This window comes from Homo sapiens, chromosome 12 (assembly GCF_000001405.40).
Source record: "Homo sapiens chromosome 12, GRCh38.p14 Primary Assembly".
NCBI lineage: Eukaryota > Metazoa > Chordata > Mammalia > Primates > Hominidae > Homo > Homo sapiens.
Window position 1 is genome coordinate 113,795,509 of NC_000012.12, and position 18,795 is coordinate 113,814,303.

The 18,795-nt window shown below is 52.0% G+C and overlaps 1 annotated feature.

Annotated features, from left to right (window-relative positions):
* Positions 9,852-10,352: an enhancer, noted in NCBI's record as "H3K4me1 hESC enhancer chr12:114243165-114243665 (GRCh37/hg19 assembly coordinates)". NCBI's record gives its function as "activates a minimal SCP1, AML or CMV promoter by ChIP-STARR-seq in primed H9 embryonic stem cells {active_cell/tissue: H9 hESC(primed)}" and the evidence as "EXISTENCE:reporter gene assay evidence [ECO:0000049][PMID:30033119]".

Sequence of the window (18,795 nt, forward strand, 5' to 3'; positions counted from 1 at the left end):
GGGCAGAAGAGATGATTTCATCTCTGCTCCAGAAAAGGCAGCCATCTCGCCCCTTCCCCACTGAGCACCATTCTCAGAGGACCTTAGCAATGAGTTAAAAGAAAACAATTGTGATGACACGCTAGCTTTGCCCAAGAGTTTAGTGCGAATGCAACTAACCTTGCAGACAGTCACCAGCCCGCTTGCCTGGGGGAAGTGACCACTCACAAGGTACTTCGCGAAGGAGGCTGGTTTATTTATGCCGCTTTGTTTATTGTGCTGGTTGGGGAAGTCTAGCGGGAGAAGGTGAACCCGTGCATTCTCTGGGAGGCATTTTTCTGGTGACTGGTCTGTAAGCCCATTTCCAAAGAACACTGCATGAAAATGATCAGATGTGAAGACAGCCATCCTGCAACCACTCTACCCAAATGCTCGGGTGGGGCTCCTGTTACTACTGGCTCATTCAAAAGTTTGGGACGTTAGGAAATAAAAAAGTTAAGCAAAGAGGAATGGAGACAGAATGAGAGGGAGAGAAGAGGAGAAAGAGAGAGAGAGAGAGGTGAGAAACGCAAGAACCCATCTGGACCATGCATCACATTGAAATTGCCCCGCATTAAAAATTCACCAGCCAGTGAATTTTCAAGGGATTTGTAGTAATTAGATGACAAAATGCTGGCAAATCTCAGGCTTGCCAAAGATGTTACTCAGGGGTCAAAGACTCGACACTTTCGGCTGGGTAATTTGTAAGTGTCAATCACTCGCAGCCATCAGAGAGGATGCAGCGATCTAACGGCTGCATTCTAACTAAGTCAGGCGAGCCCGCAGCCGGCCGGCTGCCAGCAAGCCCCCAGACCCCGCGGCCTGCTGCTGTCTGCCCCGCTCCCGGCTCGGGCACAGACAGCGGCTGCGGCCTCGCCAGGGACTTGGAGCCAGGAGGGCCGACCCGAGTTTCCAACTTCTAGTTTGATTTGATCCCCCTTTATTCTTTTTTGAAAGCTGCGGAGGCTTGCCAGGAGTTGAACTTCCCACCTTCGTGGAGGACAAAGTTCCCTGTTGTGCTGGTGCCATCAAAGGGTGACATGGGGCTCTCTGCATTTGTGCAGGGTGGCCATTTCAGTGTCAAGGAGACTAGGTTATCCTGCTTCGAGCTTCGTGATACTCAGCCCCTGGGACCTCAGTCTTCTGATCTGTGAAGTGGGGATAAGATGACTTACCTTGAAGGGTGGTGATGACTAAGGAGGGAGCCCGCGGCGCTCTCTGCCTACAAACTCTCGTTCACTCCATATCCATGTGCCTTTGTCCAGGAGTCATTCTGGGCACTGGGGACTCAACAGAGACCAAGATAACACACCCCGCCCTCATGGAACATTCTAGTTGGGGAGGGAGGAGAAGCAATAAACAAATAAATATAAAGTATGTCAGAGGATGTTAAGTGCTAGGAAGAAAATCAAAGGAGCTGGGGACAGAGCGTGTTGGGGGTGGTATTTTACACAGGATGGAAGGGAAGGCCTCTCTGATGAGGCCACATCTGAGCAGAGACCTGGAGAAAAGAAGGGGACAGAGAGCATAAGGGACTGCAAGGTGGCCCTAGTGGCTGAAGTGGAGCAGACAATTCTAATCACAATGAGAATTGTTACCATGAGGCTGGAGACCACTGGGCAAAGGCAGCAGGGATACGGTGGGGGCTCGGCTCCAGAAGCCTTTGACACTTTGAAGCTTCAAGAAGCTGGACTCGTGTTGCCCAGCCTGATGACCCTGATAACCCCGATTCCAGAGCCCTATGAGGGCAGAGAAAGCACCCCGAGATGCCCACGTGTGGTGCCTGACCCTGTCTATGGGCCAGGGCTGACACTGGCGGGAGGGTCTCATTCCAGTTGCTGGCACTGATTGAAAGCGAGCTGCAAAAGGGACCAGTGAGCCTGAGGGGAAATTGATGCTGTCACAGCTGCAGCCGGCTGGGACTTCCTGGACCCCAGACCGGAAGCTGTTTGTAAGATGATGGCCCCGTTTTCTCCCTCCCTGCTCCGGCCCATCCGGGTATCTTTTGGAACTAACACTGACTTCAGAGTCAGATGGACAGGGGTGGGGAGTGGGGGTGGATGGGCCTGAAGCCTGAGGCCTGAGTCTGTGGTTTCTGAGCTGTATGACCCTGGGCAAGTCACCACACCTCTCTGAGCCTCAATTGCTGCACCTGAAAAATGGGCATAAGAGCCTCCCTCACATGGTTATGGGCCAGTATTGTTAATGAGCATCTGGGGGAGGGCAGATTCTCAAAAGTAGCACTTCCAACCCCCCTATAACTAAAGATGATCACACCCCTGGCTATCACAATCAAAGCAAGAATTCTGCAGCTGAACCACACATTAGGGAAATGGACCAGGGGGCAAATTGCTGCTCTAAAAGATAAGGAGCTGCAATAGGATGTCTTTGTGCGGTTTGCTGTTCAGTTTGCAAAATAAATGTCCCAAAGTGGGATCTCTGTGCGGTGTCTTTTTTCGTATTTGGGGAATGCTTGTCTTGGAGCCAGGGCCAGTGTTTGTAAATCACTTTCTCCTTTGAGTTCTTCCTGGCCATTTCATATTTTTGTGTGTGTGGTGGGGGCAGGGCACAGTGTGGGGTATATTTGCTTCCCCTCACCCGCCTCCTTCCTGGGCCGGGGTCTCCATCCCAGCCAGCCTTTGCTGCAGGTTTAACTGGGCTGTGAAACTACTCAAGGGGAAAATGAGAAACTACCCAGTGTTTCACGGGAGGCAACGGGCTGGGCCTTCCGAGCTCTGATGGCAAACCCTCTCCAGCCGCCAGCCATGGATGCAGAGAGCCCCTGGATTCCCTCCGACCAGGGGGCACGTGTTCCCTGCCCCCACTGAATCCTCGTGGTGCTTCCCCACATCAGGAAGGCGACAAGGCCCACTTGAGATGCAAATAAAAATTAGCAGCGGTGGCAAGCTGGCCCATCTATTCCCCATGGCCCCTCATGAATATCGCTCGTCTTTGCAGTTTAGATGGGGAAATTTCGAGCTGACCTAGCATCTGCTTAAGAATCGATGGGACCAAGAATAGGAATGTAAATAATAAGAACAGGCACCACGCCAGTGGTGGCTGTTTATTGAGCACTTACTATGTGTAGGCCCTGTGTTGAGGGGCCCCGGACAAGCTTCCTCCCGGTCATCCTCAGGGCAGCTGTAGCATGACTGTCACCTCATCAGCGAGGCCGTGCCTGGGTCCCGAGTGAGGGCGCTCCCTGACTGATGCGGTGCCTGCCCCTTGCTCTGACGACATTGCAGCACCCTCTGCCTGACATTACGTTCTGACTTGCGGAATGTCTGTCTCTGGGAGTGAGATGTGAGCTTCAGGGGGGCGGGGCTTTCTGTCTGTTCTCTTCACCGCGGTATCCCCAGTGCCTAGAACAGGGCTTGGCACTTAGGTGCCTTTCAATACACACTTACCAAATAAGTGGATCCCCACTTTATAGAGACGGAACGAGGGCCACGAGGATCCCAGGGGTAGGTGGGCAGGGCTGGATCTCGGCCACAGTGCAGGGCCATGGGCCACCTTCTGCCCACCCACTCCTGGACATGTCCTTTAGCATTTAACATTTGATCAGGAGAGGGGGCACTCACCCAACCTACACCCTGTTTCCTCACAATTCAAACCTTTCCCTTCTGGCTGACTCACACCTTCCAGCAAAGGGCCGGGTGACCGCACAAGCTGGGAGAAGATGCTCAGAGTATGCTTTTGAAGCTCATCTCTCACTCTCTTTTTTTTTTTTTTTTTTTTGAGATAGAGTCTTGCTCTGTCACCCAGGCTGGAGTGCAGTGGCAGGATCTCGGCTCACTGCAAACTCCACCTCCCGGGTTCAGGCCATTCTCCTGCCTCAGTAGCTACTGAGTAGCTACTGAGCGCCAAGTAGCTGGGACTACAGGCACCCGCCACCACGCCCAGCTAATTTTTTGTATTTTTAGTAGAGACGGCATTTCACCATGTTAGTCTGGATGGTCTCACTCTCCTGACCTCGTGATCCACCCGCCTCGGCCTCCCAAAATGCTGGGATTACAGGTGTGAGCCACTGCGCCCGGCTGAAGCTCATCTCTTGATGGGCTCTGACTTCCATAGGCTGAGTGGTGCAGACAGAGGCCCCGCCCGCCGGGAGCCCCCTGCCAGGAGCACATGCAGGCGTGGAAGGGACCATCCCAAAGTTATGGTGTGCTGTGGTCAAGGGTGTAGGCCCTGGAGCCAGATTCCCTGACTTCTAAGCCTAGTCCTGCCACTTAGAAGCTGTGTGGTCTTGGGCACTCCACGACACCTCTCTGTGCCTTGTTTCCTTGTCTGGAAAAAGAGGAGAACGCTAGTATCTGTTTCAAAGGCTGAAAGAGTTCATTCACCTAGAAGACTTAGAACAGGGTCAGTGCTCATGGAATTCATGATCCAGAAGAACTGGATCCTCACACATGCCAGAGTGAAATGGAACATGGTGTGCCTGGGGTGTTTTTTTCTTTTTCTTTTTTTTTTGAGATGGAGTTTCACTCTTGTTGCCCAGGCTGGAGTGCAATGGCGCGATCTCGGCTCACCACAACCTCCGCCTCCCGGGTTCAAGAGATTCTCCTGCCTCAGCCTCCCAAGTAGCCAGGCGCCCGCCACCACGCCCGGCTAATTTTTGTATTCTTAGCAGATTCTCCATGTTGGTCAGGATGGTCTCGAACTCCCGACCTCAGGTGATCCGCCCTCCCCGGCCTTCCAAAGTGCTGGGATTACAGGCGCTGGGGTGTTTTTTTCAGGTGGGAGAAATGCCGCTTGTGTATTAGGGAAGGGAAACTGAGACTGATCAGTCCTGAGCTGCCCCCAGCCTGACCGTGTGCCGAAAACACTGCTCCGTCAGAGTCCCAGTGGTGCTGTCTCATTTTCCTGGGGCCACTCCAGGTCTAACACCCAGCCCGCTGTCAGCAGTGGCCTTGGGAAAGCCCTGATGCCTTGTCTCCCTGGGCCCCTCTGCACAAGACTTGACGTCATGTTCAAGATGTCCTGGCTGGAGGCGTCGACACCAACGCAGCTTGTCTATGATGAAGGCAGACAACCTGCTCACCTGCCTCCCTGGGTTACAAAGCCTGCTGGTTTTGGCTGGGCACGGTGGCTCACGCCTGTAATCCCAGCACTTTGGGAGGCCAAGGCAGGCGGATCACTTGAGGTTAGGAGTTCAAGACCAGCCTGACCAACGTGGTGAGACGCCGTCTCTACTAAAAATACAACAACAAAAAAATTAGCCGGGCATGGTGGTGCACTCCCAGCTGCTTTGGAGGCTGAGGCACAACAATTGCTTGAACCCGGGAGGTGGAGGTTGCAGTGAGCTGAGATCAAAACACTGCACTCCGGCCTAGGCAACAGAGTGAGACTCTGTCTCAGAAACAAAAAACAAAACAAACCCCCAATCTGCTGGTTTTAAAACTACCTTTTATGTCATCCCACATCAGAAAAACAGGCAGTGTGGCTGGGGAGGGGGCCTAGAGGGCACTGAATCCATGTCCTGGCTACTGTTTGGATGAGTAAAGGCAGTGCCTGGTGCTTTCTGAAGGCCAAGGCTAAGCTCGGGATGACCACGGAACAGTATGTCTGTGGCTTGCTGTCCCCTTCCACATGCGGGTGCACACACAAACACACACGTCCAACAGGGCCCCAGGTATGCCCCGACCTTGGCATTCTCAATCCTCCATAATCTTTGGAACCGTCTGCTCCCCCCACTAGCCTGTGGCTCCCCCTGTGACCAGGGGCTGTGTCCACCCTCTTCCCCATGGAAGCTAAGGCCAGGCCCAGCAGGGAAATGTGCTAGTCAATGTCTGTTCTGACGAATGAACAAATGCACTAGGCTCTCTGTCACCGGCCTTCAGCTGGGGGTCCAGTCTTGGGGCTGGAAGCCAGAGACACCCGGCAGGAATGCCACGCCAGCTTATTCCAAGCCGTTTGGCACTGAGAAGCCCCCGGAGCAGCCTTGCGCCTCAGTTTCCTCAACTGTAAAATGAGGGAGACAGCAGTACCCATGGGGCTGTGGGGAGGATTCCATAAAGGAGTGATGGATTCAATTTATCATTGAATCCCCAGGACCTCGAATTTAGCTCTCAAAGAAGGCTGGTTACCATCTTTAAGATGCAATCCCCAGCCCGAGAACCTGTCCAAGATGTGCCTGGATGGATGCAGCGTCTTCTGATTTGAGCCCCACGTTTCTCCCGTCCCTACTCTGGGTTGACCATTGTCCCCAATGGAAGGGAATCTTTTGAAGGCGGAGAAGCTGTCCTCTCCTGGAGCTGGGCTGCAGCAGACACCATGAGTGGGAGCATGCAGCTGCTTCTGGGAACCGATCGCGTCTTAACAGCTAGGGACACCAAGACGGCACCAGGAAAATAAAGGATTCGGTATGATTGATTCTCTGCAAATCCCCCCATCAGCTCCTGCTAAAAACCCAACGCTCCTTCCGGTGCGGGAGGGAGGGGAAGTTCTCTCAGCCACCAGCAGCCTGCAGCTGGGGGCTGGAGGGAGAGGTCCAGTTTCCAGAGCCTTCCATTGCTTTCTCCAATGGGCAGGAGCACATGTCTGTATTTAAGACATCAGGTAAAGACTGACCCAGCCGGCTGAGGGGTACAGCGCCAGGTGGAGAGCACAGACCCCAGAATCAGGCCGCCTGGTTGTAACCCTGGCTCAACCATGAGCTGTGTGGTCTTGAGCAAGTGATGGGCCCTCTCTGGGCTCCTGCTTCCTCATGGGAGATAAGGATGGCAATAATGGTACCCATCTTGTGCGATGGCGTGAGGGTTGAATGAGTTAACCCATGGCTAGCACAATGATGACAATCACATGTCAGAGTAGTGGATGAACCAAGACTTCAATGGGGGAGGTGGAGGGAAGGAGGAAAGCGACCCTCATCCAATGCCCACGGTGTGCAGGGGCCTTTCTACCTCCCATTTCAGTCTCCTGGCCTCACCCTACAGATGGGGACGTGGCTCAGGGAGGTACAGTGCTTGCCTGAGTCACACAGCCGGGAGGCGACACGCCCGGGTGCGCTCAGTTAATCCTCGGAGATGAGTGTTCCTCTCATGCCCGTTTTACAGAGGAGGAAACTGAGGCACAGAACAACCCTGAGGTAACCGCCCTGAGGTCACAGAGCTTGTAAGCAGTAGAGGCAGATTTTCACCCAGCACTCTGGCTGGTTCCCATGAAACCGTACACAATTCAGACTTGCAGCTGGTTCTGCTGAGATTGAGCCTATTGCTCACAGGAAGTGCTCAGAACAGGGCTGGGTGCCACCCTCGACTCTCAGGGCCCCGAGCTCTCAGGGTGCTTTCTCTCCTGGACCATGGCCCCAGGAGTCTCACCCCTCCTGGAGCACTCTGCCCAGAGAACTCATCTCTCCTGGGATCCCCAGTCGGACCCCACAACTGCAGAGAGAGGCACTGGCTCTCAGCCGGGATGGAGAAGAGACCCGCAGGGCTCTCACGTTCCTGATGCCAACCAAAACACTAGGGTGGGCATCAGACATCCCTGAAAGCCTGCAGCCCTTTCCTCAGCCCTGCCTGGGACCGACAGCTGCCTCCTTCTACCCTGAGCAAGCCCATCAGCCCCTGGCCCCTCGTCACACTGCAGGGGTTTTTGAACCATTCCCTTGGGCTACACATGCTCTGTGCCAGGGCTTAGAGCCTGCTGCCGGTGAGGGGACCCCCGCTCCCCAGGCTGTTTGGCAGCCCCTCCAGTGAGTGAGCAGGCGACCACGGCCACCTTGTTGCCTGTGGCTCTGCTGTCGGGTTTTCTAATTCTGGTCACATCATGCCCACACCTGCCCGCCGCCCGCCGCTGCCACTCTCCTTCCCCAGACCCAGTTTGGGGTGAAAGCCTTGCTTATTAGTCAATCTGGATCTCACTTACTGTGAATTACCAGGCCTCATTGATATTCATGAGTCGTCACATCTGAAACCTCAGTCAGCTGCCACGTGACTCCCTGCCTCGGGGAGGAGGCCGGTCTGAGGACAGGGGCACCTGTGCAGCCCTGACCCAAGACGTCGGCCCCCAGATGGGGACAGTTCAGTGTCCTGGGAGCAGCCCCCGGCTGATAGTGTTCCATCCTGGGACTGGAGGCGCCAGCAGGGCTTTCCAGCAGGGCAGGTAATGGAGAAGAGGGGCTGGGGGCTGGGGTTGGAGGGCAGCTGGCAGCCACGCACTCAGTTCTCACTGCTGCACCTTTGCACAGGCCGCTCCTCCCTCCTGAACCTCCTCTTCCCTTTGCTCAGCTGCCTCCTACTCTCCCTTGACTGGAAAATCACTTCTTAGAGAAACCTGCTCATTGTCCCTCTGAAGGAGGCCCCCCAGCATCCTTCTCTCATGGCACCCTGCACTGTCCCTGCACACACATTACACAGGCGCCACTGGCTGTCATTTTAAGTCTGGATGTGTGGGGATGACTCCCATGGGGACCTGGATGTGGATCCTTGGCTTACCAACCAGTGCCTGGCACTGGGCAGCATTAAGCAAAACTTGGTGGAATGAATGGTTTATGTGTTTCCTGCAAACAAGGCACTCTGCGGTGGCTCAACACTCATCTCTTGGGTCTTCCTAACACCTCTGTGAAGGAATGGACACGTTATCCCTGTTTTCTGATGAGGAAGCAGATGCAGAGATGTGGGAATTGGGAAGGAGAATCCTGGCTGGGGTGATTTTCTAGCCTGTGCTTCCAGATTAAAGGGAGAAGTTTGACCTGTCACTCCTAAGGGACTGGGTTTTTCTTTTTTCTTTTCCTTTTTTTTTTTTGAGACAAGAGTCTCACTGTGTTGCCCAGGCTGGAGTGCAGTGGTACGATCTCAGTCACTGCAACCTCTGCCTCCTGGATTCAAGTGATTCTCCTGCCTCAGCCTCCCAAGTAGCTGAGACTATAGGCACCCACCACCATGGCCGGCTAATTTTTGTATTTTTAGTAGAGACAGGGTTTCACCATGTTAACCAGGCTGGTCTTGAACTCCCGACCTCAGGTGATCCACCCGCCTCAGCCTCTCAAAGTGCTAGGGTTACAGGCGTGAGCCACCATGCCTGGCCAGGGCCTGGGTTTCTTGGAAGCACTGGAATCTCATCTTGAGGGGCCAACGGCTTCTGCTCCAGAAGCCAGGACTCTCAGGCAAGATGCAATCAAAGTAAAAACAGCAATCAACTCAGAAAATACAAACGTTGACTGCACCCCTTCCCAGCCACCATCCCGCCTCGTTTTGAAAACTGCTTTACTGAGTTGGTTGGGTGGGCGAGGGGAGAGTTATGAATACACTATTCTTCTAAGTAGATCACCTACCTAACCAGAGAGAAGAGAGACTGAAGAATGGGGACTGCTTTTAAGACACCAGGAAGTTAAAAATCTGGGCTTCTCTGGGCAGGAACAAGGACGAGTTGGTTTTTCATCTCCCCCCAGAAATGAGGCCGCCCCAGCTGGGTGGCAAGGCAGGGTGGGGCAGCTTGCCCCTGATTCAGGGCTCCACAGCGAGGGCAGGGAGGCCTAGGGAATTGGAGAGGAAGCAGAATGCAGAGAAATGAGGCTAAATCCAAAACTCAGATTTCTAAATTCAAAGGTTTCCCAGGGAAAATGGGGTTTGAAATGACTGAGTCTTGGGAACCAGAATGAACTAGATCCGGCTGTTGAAGAGCCCTGGGGGCACATTTTAAACCGGGGATGGGCACCATTTCCAATCCACACGGCGGCCAATCTGAGCAGGCCGGCAGAGCGAATGAACGTGTGGGCACGTGCAGGGTCTGCTACGGAGGAGGTGGGTGGGGGGAAGGAGGGGGGCCCGGTTTGCCATCTGCCCTGGCAGGGAAGGAGGGATTGGCCTTGAGCTGGCTGGGCTGGCTTCCCTTCCTTAAAGATGATTGGGACTGGAGGCTGCCTGGTCCGAGGGAACCTGTCAGTGACCTCTGGGTGGTCCTGGGATCCACCTGGCTGTGATGATCAAGCTGGTTGGACCACAGTGAGGGAGAAAGACAAAGAGCACAGACCCTTTTGGCAGGAGGGAATTAATTCACTGGCCCACTCACACCCGGGGCGTGGGGAGCGCCATCTGGGTCCCTTGGCAGCACAAATACCCCTGAAGTCGGAAGACAACCATGGGTGAGGCTGAGCTCACCTGCTGGCCAGAACTTTCCTGGTTTTGGCAATGACAAGTCTCTGAATGCTCCGTTTCTCAAGGGGACAGTCTAGGGACTACCTGCACGCTAGCAAACACTTAGTGGGTGCCTCTCGCTTGTGGACGCTACTGTGAATAAGGCATGGTTTCTGTCTTCAAATTGCTGGCAGCAGGGTGACAGAGCACACAGACTCTACAGTGCAGTGAGGGAAGTACCCTACGGCAGTGACAAGCCCTACAGAGGACCAGAGGGAGAGCACCTGTCTTGGGTGGTCAGTGGACTGCTCAGAGGGAGTGATGTCTAGACCTCAAGGATGAGCAGGTGGTAACTAGGGAAGTGGGGTGAGGGAAAGGGGAGAGGGAGGCTGTCCCACTAATCTAGGCAGCACATGGGGGCTGGCACAAAGATGGTGCCCAAGGAAAATGATGGATACAAGATATATTTAAGAGGTATGTGCGAGAGAGACTGTATTCATGGTCCCAGTTTTTTGTCCCTTTCCAGCCCAAAACCATGCCTTCTGATAGACCCCTCCCTTGCTGACTTGAAGCTCCACCATGAGACTTGCTTTGACCAATGGGGCAAGTAGCAAACTTGGCACAAGAGGCTTTGAATAAACTCTTCCTCTCTGGCTCCTCTGCCTCACCCATGAAAAGATGCCTAGCCTGGCCATTTGGAGGATGAGAGAGCACTGAGTCAGTTCAGCCTGAAGCCAGGCCAGACAAGGAGACAGCTCTGAGATACAGAAGAGTCCAGCCAAGATCTGCAAAGCCACCTCATTAACCTGCAGCTGAGGGCAGAGGCGTGAATGAGCAACCTGGACAAAGACTGCCCACCTCACCTACAGACTCCTGAGCTAAATAAGCATGTAATGTTTTAAGCCACTGAGTCTTGTGATTGTTCATTAAGCAGCAACAGATAACTAATACAAGATGGAACTGGCAGAGCTTGTGTATGTAACAGGTATTTAAGTCTACGACTTTTCCTCTAGGCATAGCTTTAGCTGTCATCAGAACCATGAATGTTTCTATTACTGCTGTTTTTAGTAGATATTATGCAATTTCAGTGTATTTTTTGACTCAAGTTCTTTGAGAGTTTTAATTTATAAGAGCTTTTCTTTCCCCTGTTTTGATACAAATTTCTACTTTTATTGCATGTAGTCAAAGGATGTAATCAATATTATTTCCTCTTTCTGGAATGTATTGAGGTTTTCTTTGGTAGCCTTATAGATGGTGCTCTTTTATACATGTTCCCATGATTGTTTGAAAGGAGGTACATTACATTCTATGTTTACAGCAAAGAATCTGATTCCTGAAGGCAGAAAATATACATGTACACTTCACAATGGTGGATCCCAAACTGGGATACAGACAAATGGCAGGGGTGGGTTATATTTGCATTCTCACACTGATATAAAGAAATACCTGAGACTGGGTAATTCATAAAGAAAAGAGGTTTTAATTGGTTCATGGTTCCATGGGCTATACAGGAAGCATAGCAGCTTCTGCTCCTGGGGAGGCCTCAAGAAACTTACAATCATGGCAGAAGGTGAAGGGGAGGCAGGCACATCTTACGTGGCCAGAGCAGGAGGAAGAGAGAGAGGGGGAAGGTGTTACATGCTTTTTTCTCTTTCTTTTTTTTTTTTTCTGAGATGGAGTCTCACTCGGTCGCCCAGGTCAGAGGGCAGTGGTGTGATCTTGGCTCACTGCAACCTCCTCCTCCCGGGTTCAAGCAATTCTCCTGCCTCAGCCTCCCGAGAAGCTGGGACTACAGGCATGAGCCACCACGCCCAGTTAATTTTTGTATTTTTAGTAGAGACGGGGTTTCACCTTGTTGGCCAGGATGGTCTTGATCTCTTGACCTCGTGATCTGCCCACCTCGGCCTCCAAAAGTGCTGGGATTACAGGCAAGAGCCACCACGCACTTTTAAACAACCAGATCTCATGAGAACTCACTCAGTATCATGAGAACGGCACCCAGGGAGACGGTGTTAAAGCATTCATGAGAAACCGCTCCCATGATTCAATCACCTCCTACCAGGCCCCACACTGGGGATTATTATTTGACATGAGACTTGGGGGACACAAATCCAAACCATATCATGGGGGTAGGGGAGAAGGTGCCTGGTTCAATACAGAGTCTTAAGACTCCACCTCATTAGTATTAATTCATTTGGTACAAGGAGGGCCTGGTAATTGGGATTTTACCCCCTTCCATCCCAACCATAGCCAGGTTCCTATGAACCAAAGAAAGTCACTGACTGTTCTTTGAATAACATTATGCTTTATCTTTGATTGTTTATTGCTTTCGTAGACAGAGAAAGGGCCCTTAAAGTCTCTTGACTCCTCCCACTAATAGCCTTGTGAATTTGGGCAAGGCATGCCATCTCTCTGCACCGGTTTCACTTGTCAAATGGGGACAACAACCCCATCAATTCTGGCTGTCGTGAGAACTCCCTGGCTTATAGTGCCTGGCCCAGAGTAAGGCTCAGTAATTGTGACCACTGCTGCTATGATGGCCTTGGATTCCCGTGTTTGTTCGTTAGGTTCCGATGCCGGAACTGGCTTTCAGGCCTCTGCTTAAAAGACAATGACCTTCTGTCTCTTGCAATGAGTTAGCATTTACAGTTGAAATGGGGCTCAGCACCCACCCACGTAGTCAGTCTTCAGCAAACCAGACATGTTTCTAGATTTTATATACATATGATGTAAGCTCACTCATTAAGCAAATATTCTTTAGCTCAGACTATGTGTCCTGTGCTGTGCGGCTGCAAGTCATGGTCCCGCCTGAAGGTAGCCTTGCCCTCAGCTGAACCCTGTCCCCGAGATGCCTTCTCTACCTATTCCCATTCCCTGCAACTCACTCCAGGCCCCCTGGAGTGGTACCTGCCCCACTCTCAGGAACATGCTTTGAAGTTATGCTTTCATAGTTCCAGAGTCCACAAGTCTGAAATCCAGGTGTGAGCACGGCTATGCTCCCCTGGAGGCTCTAGAGGATACTTCCTCGGCCCTTCCAGCTTCTGGTGGCTCCTGGCGTTCCTGGCCTTGGCTGCCTCGCTCTGGCCTCTGCCTTCTCTACCCATCATCAGAACCTACCCACTCTGCTACAACCACGGCTTCAAAGTCAGCCAGGGAGAGAACAGGTCGGGCTTCGTGGGGTGAGGGTGTTGTTTCTGCAGAGGTGGTGGAGGGCCGGCCACAAGGTTATCTATAAAAGTAACCAGAAGGTCCGCTAGAGGAATGCTTTTCCTGGGAGTGTGGGCTGCGGGGGCGTGTCCCTGAGTGTCAGGGTGTGGAGGGAGAGGAGGTGGCAGCTTCACAGGCAGCTGGGCATGGCTGCTCTCCTGCTCTTGGACCTTCAGGGGCTCTCTGCTGCCCTCAGGGTAAGTCCACCTCTCAGGGTAACCCCTACTCACCTCCTGGGACACAGTTTAGAAGCCACGTCTTTTGGGAAGCCCTCCCCACCCTTCCTTTGGACACCTGCCCCACTTCTCCTTTGGCACCATGACCACCTGTTACTTAGCCATCTCCCAACAGACTGTGAACTTTCACAGCAGCAGTGAGCCTACTGTGTTGTATGTTTGTTTGTTTTTGAGGCAGAGTCTCGCTCTGTCGCCCAGGCTGGAGTGCAGTGGTGCCATCTCAGCTCATTGCAACCTCCACCTCCCGGGCTCAAGTGATTCTCGTGCCTCCTGAGTAGCTGGGACTACAGGCGCCCGCCTCATACAAAAAATGCCCAGCTCATTTTTTGTATTTTTAGTAGAGACGGGGTTTTGCCATGTTGGCTAGACTGGTCTTGAACTCCTGACCTCAAGTGATCCACCCGCCTCAACCTCCCAAACTGCTGGGATTACAGGCGTGAGCCACAGCACCCAGCTAAGTTATGTATTTTAGTAGAGATGGGGTTTCACCATGTTGGCCAAGCTGGTCTCAAACTCCTGACCTCAAGTGATCTGCCCGCCTCAGCCTCTCAAAGTGCTGGGATTATAGGCATGAGTCACCGGGCCTGGCTGATCCTGTTGTGTTGATTGCTGGATCCCTGGCCGCCAGTTCAGGGCTGGCCAATAGGAGGTGCTCATTAAATGCTTGTAGAGCAAGGAAAGGGGACTCAGATGGTCTGCAGAGGGTTGAATGGTGACCTCCCCCAAAATATACGTCCACCTGGAACCTGTAAATATGACCTTATTTGGGAAAAAAGGGTCTTTGTACATATAACTAACGATCTTGAGATGAGATTATAGGTGCCAACTGTCCTCAGAAAAGAAAGGCAGGCTGGGCGTGGTGGCTCAGGCCTGTAATCCCAACACTTTGGGAAGCTGAGGCGGGTGGATCACCTGAGGCCAGGAGTTCAAGATCAGCCTGGCCAATGGTGAAACCTTGTCTCTACTAAAAATACAAAAATTAGTTGGGCGTGGTGGCGGGCACCTGTAATCTCAGCTACTCGGGAGGCAGAGGTTTCAGCGAGCCGAGATCGTGCCATTGCACTCCAGCGTGGGTGAGGGAGCAAGACTGTCTCAAAAATAAGTTGAGCAAGGATCCTCCCCTAGAGCCTTCGGAGGGAGCACGGCCCTGCCCACACCTGGATTTCAGACCTGTGGACTCCGGAACTGTGAGAGCACAACTTTCTGTTGCTTTAAGCCCCCCAGTTTGAGGTATTTTGTTACAGCAATCACAGGAATTAACATACTGCCCTATCAGAGAAAGCCTTTCTGAAGATCTGCGGAAAAGAAGGACGTTAGGGAAAAGCCAGCCTCTGTGTAGGTAACACTCCGAGGGTGCACTTGGTCAGACACGAGTGAATCTACACATGGGGCAAACTTGATGCCTTATTCCCCCAGCCCCCAAAATTGGCATTTTGTCTTAATGTGTAAGCAACAAGATCCACATGTTACTTTGGAGTTTTTCACTGACAACCAGCACTAGTGTCTAACACAGTGGGTTAAGAAAAGTGGGTTAACTTTTCTTGGTTTAAGAATGTGATGAGGCCAGGCATAGTGGCTCACACCTGTAATGCCAGAACTTTGGGAAGCCACGGCAGGAGGACTGCTTGAGCCCAGGAGTTTGAGGCCAGCCTGGGCAACATAGGGAGACCCCTTCCCTAAAAAAAATTAAAAAATTAGCCGAGCATGGTGGTGCATGCCTGTAGTCCCAGCTACTCAGAAGGCTGAGGCAAGAGGATGACTTGAGCCTGGGAGGTTGAGGCTGCAGTAAGCCATGATCACACTACTGCACTCCGGCCTGGGTGACACAGCAAGACCCTGTCTCAAAAAAAAAAAAAAAAGAAAAAAGAAAAAAAAAAACCCCAAAAATCTGATGAACACATTAGATTCATGAGTCTTTTTCTTTTTTCTTTAAAATACTTTAAGTTCTGGGATACATATGCAGAAAGTGCAGGTTTGTCACATAGGCATACATGTGCCATGGTGGTTTGCTGCACCCATCAACCCACCATCTACATTAGGTATTTCTCCTAATGCTATCCCTCCCTTAGCCCTCCACCCCCAACAGGTCCCGGTGTGTGATGTTCCCTTCCCTGTGTCCATGTGTCCTCATTGGTCAACTCCCACTTATGAGTGAGAACATGTGGTGTTTGGTTTTCTGTTCCTGTGTTATTTGGCTGAGAATGCTGGTTTCCAGCTTCATCCATGTCCCTGCAAAGGACATGAACTCATTCTTTTTTACGGCTGTGATACATGAGTCTTTAAACAATGCTTATGTGGGGTTAGGTTCTAACGTCAGCTCAAAAGGTGGAAATCAAGGACAGTCAAATTGACCTTGAAAATGCCCTGGGAAGACCCCAGGCAGCACCCAACGATCAGTGGCTGAGGCTGCTGGCTGCCCCCAGCATTTGTTTTCCCGCTTCCTGTAGAAGGAGGGGCTGTATGTTTTGGGGAGCATATGGCTGCCCAAGAGAAAGACCATTTCCCAGCATCTCTTGCAGCTAGGCTCAACCAGGTGACCATATTCTGGTCAAAGTGACATGAGAATGCACAGGCTGTGTCCTTGAAGGGCAGGGCAAGCCCTCTTTTTCCTCCCCACTCCCAGTGACTGGGTGATGGCAGCACAGCGGGGTGCTGTCTGGGCCATGGAGGCGTGTCAGAGTGACAGTTCAGAGGGGCTGGGCCCCTGCTGCTGTCAGACCAGGCCTGTTCACCTTCCAACTGTCATGTGACAGAAATCCACCTCCATCTCATTTAAGCCCACTAATGTCTGGGTCTGTCACAGGAACCAACACATTCCCTGACCTATATACACTGTTGCTCTGGGAGGCGAACACAGCAGGCTGTCCCCCAGCACTGGGGCAGCTGCTGTTCTTTGGTTGAGCATTGGGTGAAGTTGTTGACTTGTGTTCAGGGTTCACAAAATACCTCGCAGCTCACAAAGACTGCAGTGAGATGCTTACACTATGAGGGTTGGGCAATTGAGCCTAGGAATATAAAATCCTGGGAGGTGGAGGGGTTAAGGGTGCCGGACTCCTCAGCCCCACATCTCAGCATCTCTGGGGAATGCAGTCTGAGAATCGTTCATGGGACGCAGTGTTTCCTGCTATCCCTTGCACGGACTGCCACATATCCAGCTTCCTGTCCTCTTCCACAAAGCCAGAGGGGAAGGAGAGGAGGGTCTTTGACTGTGGAGCCACAGCCTGGGAAAAGGGACTGCCTTCTTTCTGGAACATCGGCCACGGGCTGCTCCCCTCCTTTCCTGGAGCCTCAGTTTCCTCATCTGTGCCATGGCAGTGACAGCCCCTGCCTAGTGACTCAGCTCCCACCTGCGAAAGTGCTTTGTAAACTGCAGGTGTACAAGGTGGCAGCGATGTTATCGCCTGGAATCTTTTTGGGGACCAGGAGAAGGGAGGGCTCCTGACAGTTTCCAGGAAAGGCAGGAGCAGCTGCTATCCAGAAATCTGCACAACAAAATGTCTGCTATTGGCCTAAGCCCAAGGATGGGACATGGTGGCCCCAGTGGACCGCTTCCATGAAATCTGCAATTATGGGGAAGTGGGGCTTATTAAGGAAGCTGGAGGGGAATGCGGCCCTGGCTTCTAGCAATGCTATAATTAGATTGCAGGGCCCCTTTTACTTTGCTGACGATCCAGAAGGCCTTGGCCCGGGGCTTGTGCTGAAATACCCTGGCCTCCTGGGCAGCGGGTGATGGCCCAAGCCTGTCGGGGTGCAGAAGGACACTGCCTTTATGTTGGGGGGATGGGGTAACAACAGCTGAGGCTTGTGTAGTGCTCATGTGGGGCCGGCGCCATTCTCAGCCTTCACTTCATCCTGGCATCTGCAGGAGTCTGTCCTGTTCTCGGTTCACAGGTGAGAACACAGGCACAGAGAGGTCAAGGAGGTTGCTCAAGGTCACATTGTGGCTAAGTGGCAAAGTAGTAAAGAAGGGGTATGAATGATTGAAATCAGGGGTCGCCAAACCACAGCTCGTTTTTCTTTTTCCTGCTACTGTTGCCTGGTCTTGTCAATAAAGTTTTACTCAGCACATGTGCCGAGGCAGCATAGCAGAGGTGAAAGAGCCGGAACGGGGAATTCTGCCACAGTGTGACCTTGTAGAAGACACTCTGGGCTTTCTAATCTGTAAAATGATGGGGGTTTGCTTTAGATCGGGGTCACTGCACTTGATGCAAAGGGCCAGATGGTAAATATTTTAGGCTTTGCAGGTCATAAGGTCTCTGTTGCTACTCAACTCTGTTACATGCAGCAACTATTGACAATATGTAAACTAATGGGCATGGCTGTATTCCAATAAAACTTTATTCACAAAACCAGGCAACAGCAGCACAAAAAAAAAAAAAAAAAAAGAGGGCCATGGTTTGCCAACCCCTGATTTTGATCATTCACGTCGCTTCTTTACTACTTTGCCTCACGAAATTCATGTTTTTAATACTTTTCTTTATACGAATTCACCGGTATTCCTTAGAGCTTAGCAACACCATAGGTTTGATGACCTAAACAAATACAGGTTTGTATTTGTGGCATACATGTGAAAATAAACTTGTGAGTTAAAAATTAAAAAGAAAAGTGTGTGGGCCACCTAAACCATCTCCTGAAGCACAGAGGTCCGTGCTCTGTGCTTTGGGAGACATTTTTTAGTTCAATATATTTTTTTTCGAGATGGAGTCTCACTCTGTTGTCCAGGCTGGAGAGCAGTGGCACGATCTCGGCTCACTGCAACCTCTACCTCCCGGGTTCAAGTGATTCTCCTGCCTCAGCCTCCCGAGTAGCTGGGACTACAGGCACGTGCCACCATGCCCGGCTAATTTTTTATATTTTTAGTAGAGATGGGGTTTCACCATGTTAGCCAGGATGGTCTCCATCTCCTGACTTTGCGATGACCCACCTTGGCCTCCCAAAGTGCTGGGATTACAGGCGTAAGCCACCGCGCCAGGCCTAGGTCAGTGTTTTTCAAATCACTGAGGTGTTGAGGGGGAAGAGGAGTCTGGGTGGGGGAGGTCAGGCCTGTACCCTGACTTGGAACAAAGCAGTTTTGCTTAATCTGTTTAAGACATTTGTTTGGGAAACGGGTTCTGGGGCCAAAGGAGTTTGGAACCATCTAGAAGTGGCTTCAAAATGAACTTGAGGCCTGTGCAGTGGCTCATGCCTGTAATCCCAGCACTTTGGGAGGACGAGGCAGGAGGATTATCTGAGGTCAGGAGTTCATGACCAGTCTGGCC